The 18,227-nt window shown below is 48.1% G+C and overlaps 1 protein-coding gene across 4 annotated transcripts in view, besides 1 other annotated feature; it reads left to right on the top strand.

Moving 5' to 3' along the window:
- The window catches only part of CLSTN1 (calsyntenin 1), a 95,601-nt gene that overhangs the window by 48,856 nt on the left and 28,518 nt on the right, over positions 1–18,227 (top strand). For all 4 annotated transcript variants that reach the window (XM_047449470.1, NM_001009566.3, NM_014944.4 and 1 more), the window contains exon 2: positions 2,277–2,399. In XM_047449470.1, coding sequence (XP_047305426.1) covers positions 2,277–2,399 — 123 coding nt within the window. The remainder of the gene's footprint in view (positions 1–2,276; positions 2,400–18,227) is intronic.
- Positions 7,454–7,654: a silencer, noted in NCBI's record as "peak58 fragment used in MPRA reporter construct". NCBI's record gives its function as "represses an SCP1 promoter by STARR-seq MPRAs in K562 erythroleukemia cells {active_cell/tissue: K562}" and the evidence as "EXISTENCE:reporter gene assay evidence [ECO:0000049][PMID:32103011]".

The following is an 18,227-nucleotide window of genomic DNA, read 5'->3' as shown; positions in this document are numbered from 1 at the left end:
TAGTCTGAGGTTATAATGGAAGCTGTTAACCCTCTTAAGGTGAACATAAAAGGAAAATGGAAATATTTGAGCTGTGGAACAGGGCCCCCAGTGTGCGTGTGGAGATACTGCTGGCTCAGGGAGGGATTCATGGCTACCAGGAGGACGTCTGACATCGACACTTAGGAGCCGAGCCCCAGGCAAAGCAAAGCAGACAGGGGCTAAATGATCATCTTCTCAGGGAAGTGAGGTCAGCAGCGGCCAGAAAAGCAAAAGTAGCAGTTCTGGTAGAGTCCCAATCAAGAAGGGACAAGATAGCACTTCTCCAGTGATCCGGGCCATCACCGAGAGGAGGGTGGGGGTGTCCCTGGTTTACGAACGAGGAACTTGAGATCAGTTTGTCAGAGGCATTTGAACCAGAGCGACTCCATCTTGAATAGGGTCTGGGTGAAATAAGGTTGAGATCTATTGGGCTGCATTCCTAGGAGGTTAAGGCATTCTAAGTCACAGGATGAGGTAGGAGGTCAGTACAAGACACAGGTCACAAAGACCTTGCTTATAAAACAGGTTGCCATAAAGAAGCCCGCCGAAACCCACCAAAACCAAGATGGGGACAAAAGTGACTTCTGGTCGTCCTCACTGCTCATTATACACTAATTAAAATACATTAGCATGCTAAGAGACCCACCAGCACCATGACAGTTTACAAATGCCATGGCAACGTGAGGAAGTTACTGTATGTGCTCTAAAATGGGGAGGAGTCCTCAGTTTCCGGGAATTTCCCATATCTTTCCGGGAAAACTCATGAATAATCCACCCTTCGTTTAGCGTGTAATCAAGAAATAACCATAAAAATAGCCGACCAGCAGCCCTCAGGGCTGCTCTGCCTGTGGAGTAGCCATTCTTTCTTCCTTCACTTTCTTAATAAAGTTGCTTTCACTTGACTCTGTGGACTTGCCCCGAATTCTTACTGCATGAAGTTCAGTAACACTGTCTCGGGGGCTGGATTGGGACCCTTTTCCGGCAGTAAGTTAATGTACTTAATTAAGGTCACACAGCTCATAATAGAGGGAGGCTGGAATTGGACCCCAAGCCTAACTCAAAAGTGGATTATTTTTTTTTTTTTGAGGCGGAGTCTCACTCTGTCGCCCAGTCTGGAGTGCGGTGGCGTGATCTTGGCTCACTGCAACCTCCACCTCCCAGGTTCAGGCGATTCTTCTGCCTCAGCCTCCCGAGTAGCTGGGATTACAGGTGTGTGCCACCACACCTGGCTCATTTTTGTATTTTTAGTAAAGACAGGGTTTCAACATATTGGCCAGGCTGGTCACAAACTCCTGACCTCAGGTGATCCGCCCTCGTCAGCCTCCCAAAGTGCTGGGATTATAGGCGTGAGCCACCACGCCCGGATGGATTATTCTTAAACACTCTTGTTTTCAGTCAAGTGGTGGGTTTTTCTGAAATTCTGCAGAGTTTTATTTTAATACTTTATTGTGTTTTGCATCTTTGCTTTACATTATTATTTGTAATACAAATTTAAAATTAATATTGGGCAGCTGGGTGCGGTGGTTTAATGAGTGAGTGAGCTGAGATCCTACCACTACATTCCAGCCTTGGCAACAGAGAAAAAAGAAAAAATAATAATAATACTGGGGCCAGGTGCCGTGGCTCACGCCTGTAATCCCAACACTTTGGGAGGCCAAGGCAGGCGGATCACTTGAGCCCGGGGGTTCAAGACCAGCCTGGGCAACATGGTGAAACCCTGTCTGTACAAAGAGTAAAAAAAAAAAAAAAATAAGTCAAGTATGGTGGTGCACACACATAGTCCCAGCTACCTGGGAGGCTGAGTGGGAGGATCACCTGAACCTGGGAGGTTGAGGCTGCAGTGAGTCATGATTACACCATTGTGCTCCAGCCTGGGTGACAGAGCAAGACTCTGTCTCAAAAAATCATAAAGAAGTGAAAATACCTTTCTTTGTAACTTTTCAGTGATAGGCTGAAAACAGAGATAGTCTTCCCGTAGCCATCAGTCTTTTTTTTTCCCTTGATTTCTAGAGCAATTTATTTCTTATTTCTGGTTGCTTCATGGATTCAGATAATTTCAACATTACTTATTCTGGAATTTAGAATTTCATCTCATTTGGGTCTTGATACCAAATTTTGCGACAGAACTGTGAGCACTGTCTTCAAGCCTAATGAGAGTTTTATTATTTTAATAGCAGGTGTGTGTCTTCAAAAGTAGTGGAGTTGAAAATAATATTTCTAACCTTGTCTATTTTTTTCTCTTGTTTTAAACACAGTTAACAAGCACAAGCCCTGGCTGGAGCCCACCTACCACGGCATAGTCACAGAGAACGACAACACCGTGCTCCTCGACCCCCCACTGATCGCGCTGGATAAAGATGCGCCTCTGCGATTTGCAGGTAGGAACGGGGCTTTCATTGACTCTTGATGAATCGGGCCTGGTCAGGAAGCATTCTGCACATCCCATTTGGGTAATGCTGAGCGTTTCTGAAAATGTCTCCATAGCTGAGGGTTATTTGTAGCGTCCTTTGTAGCATGTTTTTTTTTCCTTTTAATAGTTGGGGTAGCTGACAAAAAGGCCTGTTCTTATAGTTGAAAAACAAACTGTTTAATTTAATTGCATAATTTTTTTCTTTATCTTAATGTAGCCAGATAACTCCTAGACCAGTGCATCCCTGGCTCTAGGGTGCACACGGAGTACCTGAGGAATGTAGAGACAGCGGGTCTGGGAGGACCTGAGATTCTGCCTTTCTCACCTGCTCCTAGGTACTGCTGGTGTTGCTGGTCCTCAAGTGGCATGGAGCCGGAGAATCACAGCGCCAGGGGTTCCTTGCATTACCTAGATTTCAATGACCTGAGAAGACTTACTTGAAGAAGTTGAGCGGTCTTTATAGAGGAATGCTTTTGGCATAGATTTTACCTTCAGTGAATTTTAAAGACATGAGATTGTAGCCTCAGTCTTTATAGAGACAAACCTGTAGCATTGCTTTGGAGATTTTCATACTGTAATAACCGTGTACATTGCTAACACTTAATAGCATTTTCCAAGTCAGAGCTGTTCTGGCTTCACGTTGGGTCCTTAACTGGTAGAGAATGGGCTGCGCCACCTTTTTTCTGCCTCAGAGTTGGAGTTGACATTGTAAAGTTAATTTTTAAGAGTTGTTTTCGCATATTTTTCCAGATCAGATCTTCTCCTGCACGGCTGGGCACAGTGACATGCCTGTAATCTCAGCACTGTGGGAGGCTGAGGCAGGAGGATTGCTTGAGTCCAGGAGGTGGAGGCTGCAGTGAGCCTTGATTGCACCACTGCACTCCAGCCTGGGCAACAGAGCAAGACCCCATCTCAAAAAACAAAACAAACAAAAACTTCTCGTATTAAAGAGTGTTCTGGCCGGGCACAGTGGCTCATGCCTGTGCCAGCACTCTGGGAGGCCGAGGCGGGCGGGTCACAAGGTCAGGAGATCGAGACCATCCTGGCTAACACGGTGAAACCCCGTCTCTACTAAAAAAAAAAAAAAAAAAAAAAAAAAGCCGGGTGTGGTGGTGGGCGCCTGTAGTCCTAGGTACTCCGGAGGCAGAGGCAGGAGAATGGCGTGAACCCAGGAGGCGGAGCTTGCAGTGAGCCGAGATCGCGCCACTGCACTCCAGCCTGGGCGACAGAGTGAGACTCTGTCTCAGAAAAAAAAAAAAAAGTGTTCTATTTGTCTAGGGACAAATAAGAAAAATTGGATGAATTTGTATGAAACATATGTTAATTTTACTATAGTAAGTTGAAGGAAATAAACATGAGTTTGTTTCTGAAGAACTATTTGAAAAATAAATTTGTACTTCATTCTGTTTAGGCGCCACATCACATTTTCAGCACAGTCACCCGTGAACCAGCTTGTGCTGTAAAGATAGAGCCTCCCAAGTTGTTTTGTGTGTTTATTAATTTTCAGAGAGAATTCTGATGAAAAGGACAGTAGAGGCAGTACCCCATGCCGTGAACACACACACAGCATTTGTCCAGTTGCCAGGGTGATTATTTTTGCTTTTTCCCCCACATTTTTTTTTTCTCCTGAAACAGTCTTGCTCTGTCACCCAGGCTGGAGTGCAGTGGTGCAATCTCAGCTCACTGCAACCTCTGCCTCCCGGGTTCAAGCAGTTCTCCTGCCTCAGCCTCCTGAGTAGCTGGGATTACAGGTGCCTGCCACCACGCCCAGCTAATTTTTGTATTTTTAGTAGAGATGGGGTTTCACCATATTGGCCAGGCTGGTCTTGAACTCCTGACCTTGTGATCCACCCGCCTTGGCCTCCCAAAGTGCTGGGATTACAGGCTTAAGCCACCATGCCCGTCCTAATTTTTGTATTTTTAGTAGAGACGAGGTTTCACCATGTTGTTCAGGCTGGTCTCGAACTCCTGGCCTCAGGTGATCCACCTGCCTTGGCCTTGCAAAGTGCTAGTGGATAGATCATTTTAACAGAATTATTTAGTTTATGTTTTTGAGCAGTTTTATATACATTACTGATGTTTTACGCATTTCAAGAAGTGATTGCAGTCCAGGCTTGTGTATTTGCTCCCTCAGGTCCTCCTTTGCCTTTTGAAGTATCAGCAGTCCTGTTGTTCGTGCAGTGTGATCTTACTATGTTGTTAATAATTGATGCACTATTTTATTTTATTTTGTTTTGTTTTATTTTTGAGACGGTGTCTCAGTTTGTCGCCCAGGCTGGAGTCCAGTGGTGCAATTTCGGCTCACTGCAACCTCCGCCTCCCAGATTCAAGCAATTTTCCTGCCTCAGCCTCCCATTAGCTGGGATTACAGGTGCCCGCCACCATGCCCTGCTAATTTTTGTATTTTTATTAGAAACAGGGTTTCACCGTGTTGGCCAGGCTGGTCTTGAACTCCTGACCTCAGGTGATGCGCCTGCCTTGGCCTCCCGAAGTGCTGGGATTATAGGCGTGAGCCACCACACCCAGCCAATAATGCATGCACTTATAAAGCATGCATAGCAATGTCCCAGGCACTACTCTAAGTACTGTACAAATATAAATTTGTATTTAATCCCCAATAACCATAAGATAATAAATACGCTTTTCTGCATTAAAGGCAGGAAGCGGAGGCACAGAATAGTTAAGCTATTGCTCTGGGCGTGTAGCTGGTCGGGGGGTGCAGAGGCAGGGCTCCAGCCCAGGCGGGACAGCTGCCTGCTACGATGACGTAGCTACATCTTTAACTGCACGAAGTTCACAAGGAAGTAGGAAATGAAATGTACGCCGAGTGTTAACTTTGAAAGAAAAAGTCTTATCAATGAAATATTTTTTTCTTACTGTATTTAATTTTATTGTGTATTTCTCAAACTTAAGATATTCTAGATGAAATAATACTTATACAAGTTTATTTTTTAGAGATTCTCAGGTTTTTTTTACTGATGTACAAAAATTATATGTTGTGATATGTATTTTAACTGTATAGAAAAGCAATTTAAATCCAATTATAGTGGTAACTTGGTTGTATTTGCCATAGTGGATAGATAAGTCAATATTTTCCTTTTGGATATTTTCATGGGGGAAGCACAGTTACTCATATAATATTTTTTCTTTCTTTTTTCTTTTTTGGAGATAATTCATATGCCACAAAAATCACCCTTTTTTTTTTTTTTTGAGACGGAGTCTCACTCTGTCGCCCAGGCTGGGGTGCAGTGGCGCGATCTCGGCTCACTGCAAGCTCTGCCTCCCGGGTTCACGCCATTCTCCTGCCTCAGCCTCCCGATTAGCTGGGACTACAGGAGTCCGCCACCGCGCCCGGCTAATTTTTTGTATTTTTAGTAGAGATGGGGTTTCACCGTGGTCTCAATCTCCTGACCTCGTGATCTGCCTGCCTCGGCTTCCCAAAATGCTGGGATTATAGGCGTGAGCCACCGCGCCCTGCCAAAAAATCACCCTTTTAAAGTGTACAGCTCATTGAGTTTTAGAATGTTCCAAAAACCATGCACCTGCCAACCACTGTCTAACTCCAGAACATTTTCATCACCCCAAAAAGGAACCCTTGCACCAAGTGGCACTCATCCCTCAGTCTCCTTCACTCCCAAGCCCTGGCTACCACTACAGATTTCTCTATTCTGGATAATCATGTAAATGCACTGTACGGCTTTTTGTGATGGGCGTCTCCCAGCATGGTGATTTCACAGTTTACCTGTGTTAGGTGCCTAGCAGCCCCTCATTCCTTTTTTTGTTGCTGGATATTATTTCATTCTATGAGTAGATCACATTTTGTTTCTCTGTTCATCCACTGATGGACATTTGAGTTGCTTCTACTTTTTGGCTATTATGGGTCATGCTGCTGTGAACATTCCTGTACAGGTCTTTGTGTGGACATAGGTTTTCAGTCCTTTAGTATACACACAGGAGTGCAACTGATCCCCTTGACTGAAGCGTGGGGTCCTCTGCTGGAGGAGTGGGCAGCTGCATGGGGGGGAGGGAGCACCTGACCTGCAGCCGTATCCCTCCTTACCTCCCTCCCTCCTTCCTTCCCTCCCTTCCTCCCTCCCTCTCTCCCTCTCATTTCCTTCCTCTCTCTCTCCTTCCCTCCTTCGCTTCCTCCCTCTGTCCTTTCCTTCCTCTCTCCCTCCCTCTCCCTCCCTCCCTTTTCCCCTTTCTCCCTCTCTCCCTCATTCCCTCCTTCTGTTCCCCCCTCCCTCACTCCTTCCATCCCTTCTTCCCTCCTTCCCCCTTTTCCTCCCTCCCTCCCTCCCTCTTTCCCTTTCTCCTTTACTTTCTCCCTGTGTTGCTTCCTCCCTCCCTCCCTCTTCTGTTGCTTTGGTGCCACCCAACACAGAACCCCACCCCCGTGGTGCCACCCAACACAGAACCCCGCCCCCATAGTGCCACCTAACACAGAACCCCGCCCCCATGGTGTCACCCAACACAGAACCCCGCCCCCATGATGCCACCCAACACAACCCCACCCCCATGGTGCCACCCAGCACAGAACCCCACCCCCATGGTGCCACCTAACAGAACCCCGCCCCCATGATACCACCCAACACAGAACCCTGCCCCCATGGTGTCACCCAACACAGAACCCCGCCCCCATGGTGCCACCCAGCACAGAACCCCGCCCCCATGGTGCCACCCAGCACAGAACCCCGCCCCCATGGTGCCACCCAACACAGATCGCCAACCCCATGGTGCCACCCAGCACAGAACCCCACCCCCATTGTGCCGCTCAACACAGAACCCCGCCCCCCTGGTGCCGCCCAGCACAGAACCCCGCCCCCCGGTGCCGCCCAACACAGAATCCCGCCCCCATGGTGCCGCCCAACACAGAATCCCGCCCCCATGGTGCCGCCCAACATAGAACTCCGCCCCCATGGTGCCGCCCAGCACAGAACCCCGCCCCCATGATCTTGCCCAACATAGAACCCCATCCCTATGGTGCTACCGAACACAGAACCCCGCCCCCATGGTGCCGTCCAGGACAACCCCGCCCCCATGGTGCCACCCAGCACAGAACAGGACCCTATGAGACTGAGCAAGGGAGGTCAGGAACAGAGACCCTAGAGCCGAGGGACCAGTGAGTGAATCGTAGCTCTGCTACTTATTGGCTGTGTGGCCTTAGGCAAATTACTTACCCTTTCTGTGCCTCCATTTCATCATTTGTAAAAGGATAAGATGTCACAGACCTCATTAATGTCACAGACCTCATTGGTTTGGGGGAATGTTAGCTTCTTTATTCATACGTGTGAAGAGCTTTAAACAGTGGGTGGTACAGTAATTACCACCTACAGTATTTGCCGCTGCTGTTATTACTACTAATAGAATCTTTTAAAAATATTTTTTCACTTAACATTTTGTGAGAAATATTTTTTCATCTTTCTACAAAAGTCGTTATAGTGTTGCATTTTCTTACAGACTTTCTTAAGTATTTTTTGGATAAGACAGAGGCTAGACCTGGAGCCTTATTTTCATCTTAGATTGATTTGGGTGATGACATTGAGTTTAATTTCGCACCATGTTGAGGAGGAGGGTGGTGATGGTGGTGGCATCTAACGTTTATTGAGTGCCTGCAGTGTGGCAGAGGTTGCTCTGAGGGCCCGGTGTGGGTTACTTTCTCCGATTCTTTTCAGCAGGTTTTTTTTTTTTTTTTGAGATGGAGTCTTGCTCTGTTGCCCAGGCTGGAGTGCAGTGGTGCTATCTCGGCTCACTGCAACCTCCGCCTCCTGGGTTCAAGCAATTCTCCTGCCTCAGCCTCCCGAGTAGCTGGGACTACAAGTGCATGCCACCATGCCTGGCTAATTTTTTGTAATTTTTATTAGAGACGGGGTTTTACCGTGTTCCCCAGGCTGGTTACGAACTCCTGAGCTCAGGCAGTCTGCCCGCCTCGGCCTCCCAAAATGCTGGGATTACAGGCGTGAGCCACTGCGCCCAGCCTCTCTTCTCCAATCTTACGCAGTAGACATGCCCACTGTCCCTGTTCTCCAGGTGAGGAACCAGGCTCAGCGTGTCTGCCAGCTGCGTGACAGCAGGAGAAGCTACTTTGTTTTCCATTTTATCCCCAAAACCTCCGTCAGTGCCTGGAACACAGTCACTCCATAGATATTTGTAGAGGGAGGAGATGAGTTTACCCAGGATCACACAGCTCATAAGTGACAGAGCCGCCTCTGGGCCCAGCTCACTGTGTGAACATTCCAGTTCATAGTGTGATCCCACTACAAGGCATGTGTGTGTGGGTAGCCACAGGAGTTCACTTGTTAGAGCTCTGAAATGAATGCACATGCAATGCTGGGAGCTTAGTCATTGAAGCTCCTTGTAAGTCATCACTAATCAGACATTCACAATGAAGATCCAGTCTCGCCCGGATTGTTTCCTTGGGGTGAAATTCTGATACAGAGTCTTGGTATTTGTCAAGTGTTTTAGGAAATTTAAATGATTCAGTTTCTTGTTCTGCGCCTTCTCTTTAATCTGCTGAAAGCCTGAGTAGTCATGGGTCAGAAAACAATTTTTGTATTTTATTATTTATCTATTTATTTTTGAGACAGGGTCTCGCTCTGTCACCCAGGCTGGAGTGCAGTGGCGCGATCTCGGCTCACTGCAACCTCTGCCTTCCGGGTTCAAGCAATTCTCATGCCTCAGCCTCTCGAGTAGCTGGGATCACAGGCGTGCACCACCACGAGCCAGCTAATGTTTTGTATTTATAATAGAGACGGGGTTTCACCATGTTGGCCAGGCTGGTCTCGAACTCCTGGCCTCAAGTGATCCTCCGCCTTGGCCTCCTAAAGTGCTGGGATTACAGGCGTGAGCCACCGCGCCCGGCCTATTTTGTTTACATTTTATATATTTCGTGGAGAGTTACCAGCTTGAGCCTCATGTGTGGGCCACAGGGTTGGGGCCTTGAAGATGATGCATTCTGTTCTTGTCAGAAGCCGTGCCTCCTCTTCTTGTTTCCTCTTCAGAGCTCCTCCTTCTAGGAGGTGGTGGTGTTCTAGCAATCTCTTTCCTGCTTTTCCAGATTAAGTATGGATGTTTTACAAGATTGGTTGAACCATAATGATACAAATAGAATCCAAAAGAAGTTTCAGGGCAAGAATGGGAACTTAGTTTTCATTGATAGTCAGTTAGAGCCCACCGAGGAGCCCTGTGATACTCTTGTCTGTATTCTTTGTTATGAATGTGATTCACATGCCCTGAGGGTGGCCAGTGGGGTTAACTGCTGCATTTCACTGCCCAGTTTTGCTTTTTTAGCACATGTAACTGAGCTGACCTTGTGCTTGCAGCAGTGAATTGGTTGACCTGCATGAAATTGCCTTTTTTTTTTGAGACAGAGTCTCGCTGTGTCGCCCAGGCTGGAGTGCAGTGGCGCGATCTTGGCTCACTGCAACCTCCCGGGTTCAAGCGATTCTCCTGCCTCAGCCTCCTGAGTAGCTGGGATTACAGGCGCCCGCCGCCACCACGCCCGGCTAATTTTTGTATTTTTAGTAGAGGGAGGGTTCCGCTTTGTTGGCCAGGCTGGCCGCAAACTGCTGACCTCAGGTGATCCACCTGCCTCAGTCTCCCAGAGTGCTGGGATTACAGGTGGAGCAACGGCGCCTGGCCTCCATTTTTTTTTTTCTTTTTTTGAGATGGAGTCTCCGTTTCCCGGGTTCAAGTGATTTCGGCTAATTTTTGTATTTTTAGTAGAGACAGGGTTTCACCATATTGGCCAGGCTGGTCTCAAACTCTTGACCTCAAGATCCCCCTGCCTCAGCCTCCTAAAGTGCTAGGATTACAGGATTGAGCCACCGCACCAGGCCAATTTTTTCTTTTTTCTGAGATGGAGTCTCGCTCTTGTCGCCCAGGCTATAGTGCAATGACGCGATCTCAGCTCACCGCAACCTCCGCCTCCTGGGTTCAAGCGATTCTCCTGTATCAGTCTCCCGAGTAGCTGGGATTGCAGGCGCCCGCCACCACGCCCGGCTAATTTTGTATTTTTAGTAGAGATGGGGTTTCTCCATGTTGGTCAGGCTGGTCTTGAACTCCTGACCTCAGTTGATCTGCCTGCCTCCCAAAGTGCTGGGATTACAGGCCTGAGCCACTGCGCCTGGCCCAATTTTTTTAAATGTTGAAATATTAAGGTATTTGAAAAAAAAATGACATTTCACATGCTTCAGCTTAATCGAAGGCAATAATGCATTGAGTAACAATTTTAAGTAAGTAGCTGAATGTTAGGACAGGTGCTTCTTATTAACCGTGATTGACTTGAATGGACCCATTTTGGATGTAGACACCACCCAGGAAGAGTTTGGGATCAGTAATGATTAAATACTAGGTAGCTATGCTAGGTTTTCCAGAGATGATAAAAAAAAGTGTAAAAGTTGGTTCCTGTTTTCAAAGCCACTGATAATGTGGGTAAGAGGGCCAAACCAAGATTGGCAAAGGATACTAGGAAACTTGTAGTTCAGCCCCAAGTGACAGAGGCAACGATGGTGTGGGCTAAGGAGGCAAGTGCTGCAGTTTGGATGTTTGTCCCCTCCAAACCTCATGTGGAAACTTTTTTTTTTTTTTTTTTTTTTTTTTTAAAGATGGAGCCTCACTTCATCACCCAGGCTGGAATGCAGCAGCGGGATCTCAGCTCACTGCAACCTCTGCCTCAGATATTCAAGCGATTCTCCCACCTCAGCCTTCCGAGTAGCTGGGATTACAGGCCTGTGCCATCATACCTGGCTAATTTTTGTATTTTTAGTAGAGACAGGGTTTCACCATGTTACCCAGGCTGGCCTTGAACCCCAGACCTCAAGTGATCCACCTGCCTTGGCCTCCCAAAGTGTTGGGATTACAGGCATGAGCCATGGTGCCCCTAACTGAAACTTGATCCCATTGTTGGAGGTGGGGCCTAATGGGAGGTGTTTGGGTCACAGGGGGTGAATCCTTCATGAATAGATTAATGTTGTCCCTGGCTATGGGGGTGAGGTGGTGGGGTGGGGGGTAGTGGGTGAATTCTCACTCTTTTAGTTCCCACAAGAGCTCATTGCTAAAAAGAGCCTGTGGTTGCTCCTCCTCCTCCCCCACCCACCTCTCTCTCTCCCTCTCTCTCTCTCTCTCTCTCTCTTTCTTTCTCCCTCACCATGTGATTTCTACACACGATTCCCCTTGGCCTTCCGCAGTGAGTGGAAGTAGCCTGAGGCCCTCATCAGATGCAGATGCCCAACCTTGAACTTTCCAGCCATCAGAAGTGTGAACCAAAGAAACCTTTTTTCTTTATAACTTACACAGCCTCAGGTCTTCCTTTGTAGCAACACTGAATGGGCTGAGATAGCCCAGAAGTGGTTCTACAGTGGTTTACAGGGCTTGAGTCCTGTAAAGGGTGGGTGGAGTTTGCATAGGCAGTGAAGAGAGGGGAGAGGTGGGAGCAGAGGTGGGAACTGGAAGGGCCTCCCAGGGTAGGTGACCAGGTCAGCTTGTGTGGCGTGGGGTATAGAGGAGCACAGGATTGAAGTCAACTTGAGTCCACATGGTTTCCATTGCTAGGCTGAATGGATGCATGGGGTTTTCCAATGCTATGTCTGGATCACCTGGGGCCCTGGTGTAGAGTGCAGGTTCCTGAGCTCCATGCTCAGCTGCCTAGTCTGTACCTCCAGGAGTGGCACCTGAGAAATCCATACCAGCCAGCTAGGTTTGCAAACCCCCAATGGGCCACCTTCCCAGGTCTGCAGACTGTCTGTGTTGGAGTCATCTGGCAGTGCTTGCTCAAAATGCAGATCACTGGGCTCTGCCCCTAGAACCACCAAGTCAGAATTTCTGGGGATGGAGCTTGGAAACCACATTTTTAACAAGCGTCACAGACCATTTTTGGCACACTAGAATTTGAGAGCCACTGCTGTAGTCAGTGAGGAACTTGCGAGAGCGTAACTCTTGGAGTCTGTGGTTATTGTTACATATATTTAAGGTATCCTAGGCCGGGTGCAGTGGTTCACACCTGTAATCCCAGCACTTTGGGAGGCCGAGGCAAGGAGATCACTTGAGGTCAGGAGTTTGAGACCAGCCTGGCCAACATGGTGAAACCCTGTCTCTACTAAAAATACAAAAATTAGCCAGGCGTGGTGGTGTGCACCTGTAGTCCCAGCTACTCGGGAGGCTGAGGCACAGGAATCACTTGAACGCAGGAGGTGGAGGATGCTGTGAGCTGAGGTTGTGCCACTGCACTCCAGCCTGGGTGACAGAGCGAGACTCTGTCTCCAAAAAAAAGAAAAAAAAAGGTACCCCGAAAAAACTGCTGATTAGAGACACGTATGAGCTCATTCCAGAAACTAGCCTGGACCAGTAAGCAAGAAAGCCAGAGGTCACCCAACGTCAGGGACAGCCCGGACACCCAGCCGTTGAGTGCGGGCACCAAGGCCGAGTGGAGCAGAGAGAAGTGGATAGTCGCTGCTTGGCAAGAAAGCCAGAGGTCACCCAACGTCAGGGACAGCCCGGACACCCAGCCGTTGAGTGCGGGCACCAAGGCCGAGTGCAGCGGGGAGAAGTGGATAGTCGCTGCTTGGCAAGAAAGCCAGAGGTCACCCAACGTCAGGGACAGCCCGGACACCCAGCCGTTGAGTGCGGGCACCAAGGCCGAGTGGAGCAGAGCCGTTGAGTGCGGGCACCAAGGCCGAGTGGAGCGGAGCCGTTGAGTGTGGGCACCAAGGCCGAGTGCAGCGGGGAGAAGTGGATAGTCGCTGCTTGGCAAGTGTCCATTTTCTCTTTTTTTTTTTTTTTGAGACAGAGTCTCGCTCTGTCGCCTAGGCTGGAGTGCAGTGGCGTGATCTCGGCTCACTGCAACTTCTGCCTCCCGGGTTCAAGCGATTCTCATGCCTCAGCCTCCTGAGTAGCTGGAATTACAGGTGCCTGCCACCATGTCCGGCTAATTTTTGTATTTTTAGTAGAGACGGGTTTCACCATGTTGACCAGGCTGGTCTCGAACTCCTGACCTCAGGTGATCCACCCACCTTGGCCTCCCAAAATGCTGGGATTACAGGTGTGGGCCACCACACCCGGCCCATTTTCTCTTCTTTACAGCCCCGTGATCCGTTTCCCATTGGGCACAGATCAGTGGATCTACAACCTGTTACCCAGCTTCCCCTAGCCAAGTGAACAGGTGCCCCTCCCTGAAGTTTGAATGGTGAGTGGAGCGACAGCGATGCTAAGAATAGTTGCGGTTCGGGTCTGTCTGTCCAGGCTGTTCTGCAGTGGGACTGTTGCGGTTCCTGTTTCCTGGTCTCCAGCCGCCTTGGCTTCCACCTGTTTCCAAGTCCCTTTCTCTGGCCTACAGTCAGTTCCATGAGTTCCTGATAGTTTTCCAATCAGTTTCCTTTTGCTAAGTTACCTAGAAAGGATTTCTGTTGCTTACAATCAGAGAACCTTAGCTGTTATACGTAAGGAGCAAAGGAAACATTTGCAATATAAGGGCAGGGTCCCCTGAGAGCTGGGAGACGTGTGTAGGAGGGGCCATCCTCAGATTAGGAAGAAGACTTCGAAAGAACAGCAGGGCCAGCCTAAAGCTGGGGTTTGTCAAAGGCACAGATGAGGAAAGTGAGGGCAAAGTGCTGTCAGCTGAGAACCCTGCACGTGACTTTGGATATCCAGAAGTCAAATCCATACTTTGTTGGGTTCATCCATTTTTCATATTTTTATGTTTTGCTTTAAAAATTCCTTAAAAAAATTTTTAAAAAAATTTTTAGACATGGTCTCACTCCGTCGCCCAGAGTACAGAGGCTGGAGTGCAGTGGCATGATAATGGCTCACTACAGGCTTAACATCCGAGACTCAGGTGATTCTCCCACCTTAGGCTCCCAAGTAGCCGGGACCTCAGGCACACGCCACCACTCCCAGCTAATTTTTGTATTTTTGGTAGAGACAGGATTTCACCGTGTTGGCCAGGCTGGTCTCGAACTCCTGACCTCAGGTGATCCACCCACCTCAGCCTCCCAAAGTGCTGGGATTACAGGTGTGACCTACCAGGCCTGCTCCTCAAATTTCTTAAGTAAAGTTCCTTTTGACCATTTTAGATGATCTCCTAGGGGAATGAAGGTTTGGGGAAAGAGACTGGGAAGGATTTGGCCCATTCCTAGGAGAGCCTAACTGGAGAGGTTGTCTGGGAAACCTGGTTGGGTGTCTTCAGCTTGATAAAAGCAGGGTTTTAGGTAGATTTGCGTAACAGAGCCAGCTGAATTGAGTGGGAGGGAGCAGGGCAGAAAGGAACTGGGATGTGAGAGGCAATTCTGAGAGGTCCTTCCCTGCAACGGATGAGGTTGTTTGAGTTTGAGAGAGGCTGAGTTTAGGATAGCGAGTGGTGGAGCTGCACCTTCGTATGTGATGGTGCCGTAGCATGCATTTGACTACCATGAACTGGGGCGGGCGTGGTGGCTCATGCCTGTAATCCCAGCTCTGAGGGAGGCTGAGGCAGGTGGATCACTTGAGCTCAGGAGTCCAAGACCAGCCTGGGCAACATGGTGAAACCTCACCTGTAGCCAAAAAAAAAAAAAAAAAAAAAAACCCGGGAATGGGTGGCATGCACCTGTGGTCTGAGCTACTCGGGAGGCTGAGGTGGGAGAATCGCTTGAACTCAGGAGGTGGAGGTCCCATCTATTCCCCTAAAAATCCCTTAAATGTCTCCTTGGGACAGTGCCTAGTTCAGCCCTCATTGTATCTCATCAGAGGTACTGTGGTAGCCCCTGTCTTGCTCCAGTCCGATCCGTCTTCCTTATTAAAAGTAGAGTTTTAGGTTGAATGCACAAATGGCCCCTTGAGGTAGGCGTACTGGCTGACCCTGCAGATGGCTCAGCAGGCTCTGCAGTGATGGGCTCGGTTGCAAGGCTGGTGTGGAAGACCCAGGTCTGCCTGAGTTTTGCAAAGCCCACACTGCACCTGCCACCTTGAACTACCAACCTGGCGAGTTGGTTTTTTAAGTCCTTGTAGGTAAAGGAGCCAGCCTGACTAGCAATTGAATAAGTACTGGTGGATTTGAGGCACCATATCCTGTTGGTGGAACTCATTAAAGTAGCCAATGTCAATACTCAGAATATTGATTATTTTGAGAGCTAGGATTGTATCATTGCATTCCAGCCTGGGCAACAGAGGGAAACCCTGTCTCTAAAACAACCAACCAACAAGCAGGAAATCTGCACTTACCTATGGAGAGACCTGTGTCAGGAAAGCACACCACAGTCACTGTCATTAATGTCAGTTCAGATGATGTGGAACTGCCTCGCTATTCCACAGTAAACTCAAGTCAAAAACTGAGAAGTTTTATCCAAATTAAAGCTGGGCAACCTAAATTACTTTAAAATGTATTATGCAGTATTAATATGCATCAAAACATGTAATATTGTGAGTTAGCACATCCTGGAAAACATTTGGACACATCTGATACCAGGCAGTTTTACTCGTGGGTGTCTCTCTAGAGCAGAGATCAGCAAACCTTTTCGGTGAAGAACTAGATAGGGACTATTTTAAGCTTTGGGGCCCCTCGGATCTCTTTCGCAATGATGTAACTCTGCAACAACCTCTGCCCTTGCAGTGTGAAAGCAGAGACCATACATTAAACAAATGAGCATGTCTGTGTTCCAGTGAAATATATTTATAGAAACTGTATTTGAGGCCAGGCGCGGTGGCTCACGCCAGTAATCTCAGCACTTTGGGAGGCCGAGGCGGGCGGATCATGAGGTCAGGAGATCAAGACCATCCTGGCTAACGCGGTGAAACCCCGTCTCTGCTAAAAATACAATAACAAAAAAATTAGCCAGGTGTGGTGGCAGGCACCTGTAATCCCAGCTACTCGGGAGGCTGAGGTGGGAGAATGGCGTGAACCCGGGAGGTGGAGCTTGCAGTGAGCCAAGATCGTGCCACTGCACTCCAGCCTGGGCAACAGAGCAAGGACTCCATCTCAAAACAAACAAACAAAAAGAAACTGTATTTGTATTTGAAATTCATGTAATTTTCTCATGTTATGAAGTACTATTAAAAATTGTTTTTAGTGTGTGGGCTCTTCAAAATCAGGAACAGGTTGGACTTTCTGGAAACGGCAGTTTGCAGACCCCTAATTCAAAGCAACTCTGTCCAGTGGGACTTGCTGTGCCAAGGGGAGCACTCTGCGTCCATTGTCTTCTTGCAGCAGCCACCAGCCACATGTGGCTGCTGGGCCCTTGAGAACTGGCCAGTGTAACTGAGGAACTGGATTTTTCACATTGTTTGATTTTTAGCTTGAATTTTCATTTGCATTTGAACAGCCCCACATGGCTAGTGGCTGCCATGTTAGGCAGCACAGGCGTACAGAGGCTCTTGTAGACGTGCAGCAGCAAGCAGGGACCGAAATAATCATGACACCATTGTTTTTAAACAGCAGGAACAACTGATGGCATTTTCACACAGTGGAAAATGATTGTAATAATAGCAAACATTTGTTAAGTGCTCTCTTTCCGCCAGGCAATGTTTTAAGCACTTTACATGTTTTGACCCGTGGATTCTCACTGTTAGGTAGTAGTGAAAATGAATAAACTATAGCTACCTATACCAGCAAGGATGAATAAATCTTAGATACACAAAGTTGCATGAAAAAGCAAGTCATGGCCAGGTGCGGTGACTCACGCCTGTAATCCCAGTACTTTGGGAGGCGGAGGCGGGCGGATCACTTGAGATCAGGAGTTCAAGACCAGCCTGGCCAATATGGTGAAATCCCATTTCTACTAAAAATACAAAAATTAGCGAGGCTTGGTGGCAGGCGCCTGTAATCCCAGCTGCTTGGGAGGCTGAGGCATGAGAATCGCTTGAACCCAGAAAGTGGAGGTTGCAGTGAGCTGAGATGCTACCACTGTACTCCAGCCTGGGCAACAGAGTGAGACTCTGTCTCAAAAAAAGAAAAAGAAGCAAGTCATAAAAACTGCACGTGGGCTGGGCGCAGTGGCTCACGCCTGTAATCCCAGCACTTTGGGAGGCCGAGGCGGGCGGATCACCTGATGCCAGGAGTTCGAGACCAGCCTGACCAACACAGAGAAACCCCATCTCTACTAAAAATACAAAATTAGCCAGGCATGGTGGTGCATGCCTGTAATCCCAGCTACTGAGGAAGCTGAGGCAGGAGAATCGCTTGAACCCGGGAGGCAGAGGTTGCAGTGAGCCGAGATCTTGTTACTCCATCCTGGGCAACAAGAGTGAAACTCCGTTCCCACCCCCCCCCAAAACAAACAAACAAAAAACTGCATGCCATGTGATACCATTTTTAAAACCTTAAAACCAAGCAAAATGAAACAACACTGTTCAGGGAGAATAAATGGTAGCACTATTAGCAAAGCAAGGGAATTCAGGTCGTGTTACCTTTGGGGGAGAGAAGGTGCCACCAGTGAGGGCCCAGTGTGTTGAGGGGCAGCGAAATTCCTGATCTCTTCACATTTCCACTCCTCCATAGTAAAGGGTTTATAAGCAGGATATATATTGACTTGGTAGAACAGAGCTTTCATGTAATGAGAACAGTGACTGTTGTAGCATCCCTACAGTTAGTTTTGAATCTGGTTTCTATTCACATTTAAGCAGATGTTCCATTAGCAGAGGGGTTTATATTTGTTGCCTTGGTTGGGTACTTTGGATTAGAAAAATATTGTCATTTTTTTCAGTTCAAGAACAAAGGGTTAAAACCTTTTGTTCGGCTGGGTGCGGTGGCTCACGCCTGTAATCCCAGCACTTTGGGAGGCCGAGGCGGGTGGATCATGAGGTCAGGAGATCGAGACCATCCTGGCTAACA

The sequence above is a fragment of the Homo sapiens genome, chromosome 1 (assembly GCF_000001405.40).
Source record: "Homo sapiens chromosome 1, GRCh38.p14 Primary Assembly".
NCBI classification, from domain to species: Eukaryota; Metazoa; Chordata; class Mammalia; order Primates; family Hominidae; genus Homo; species Homo sapiens.
Note: the sequence above shows the minus strand (reverse complement) of the source record. Positions and strands in the feature narration are given on the sequence as shown.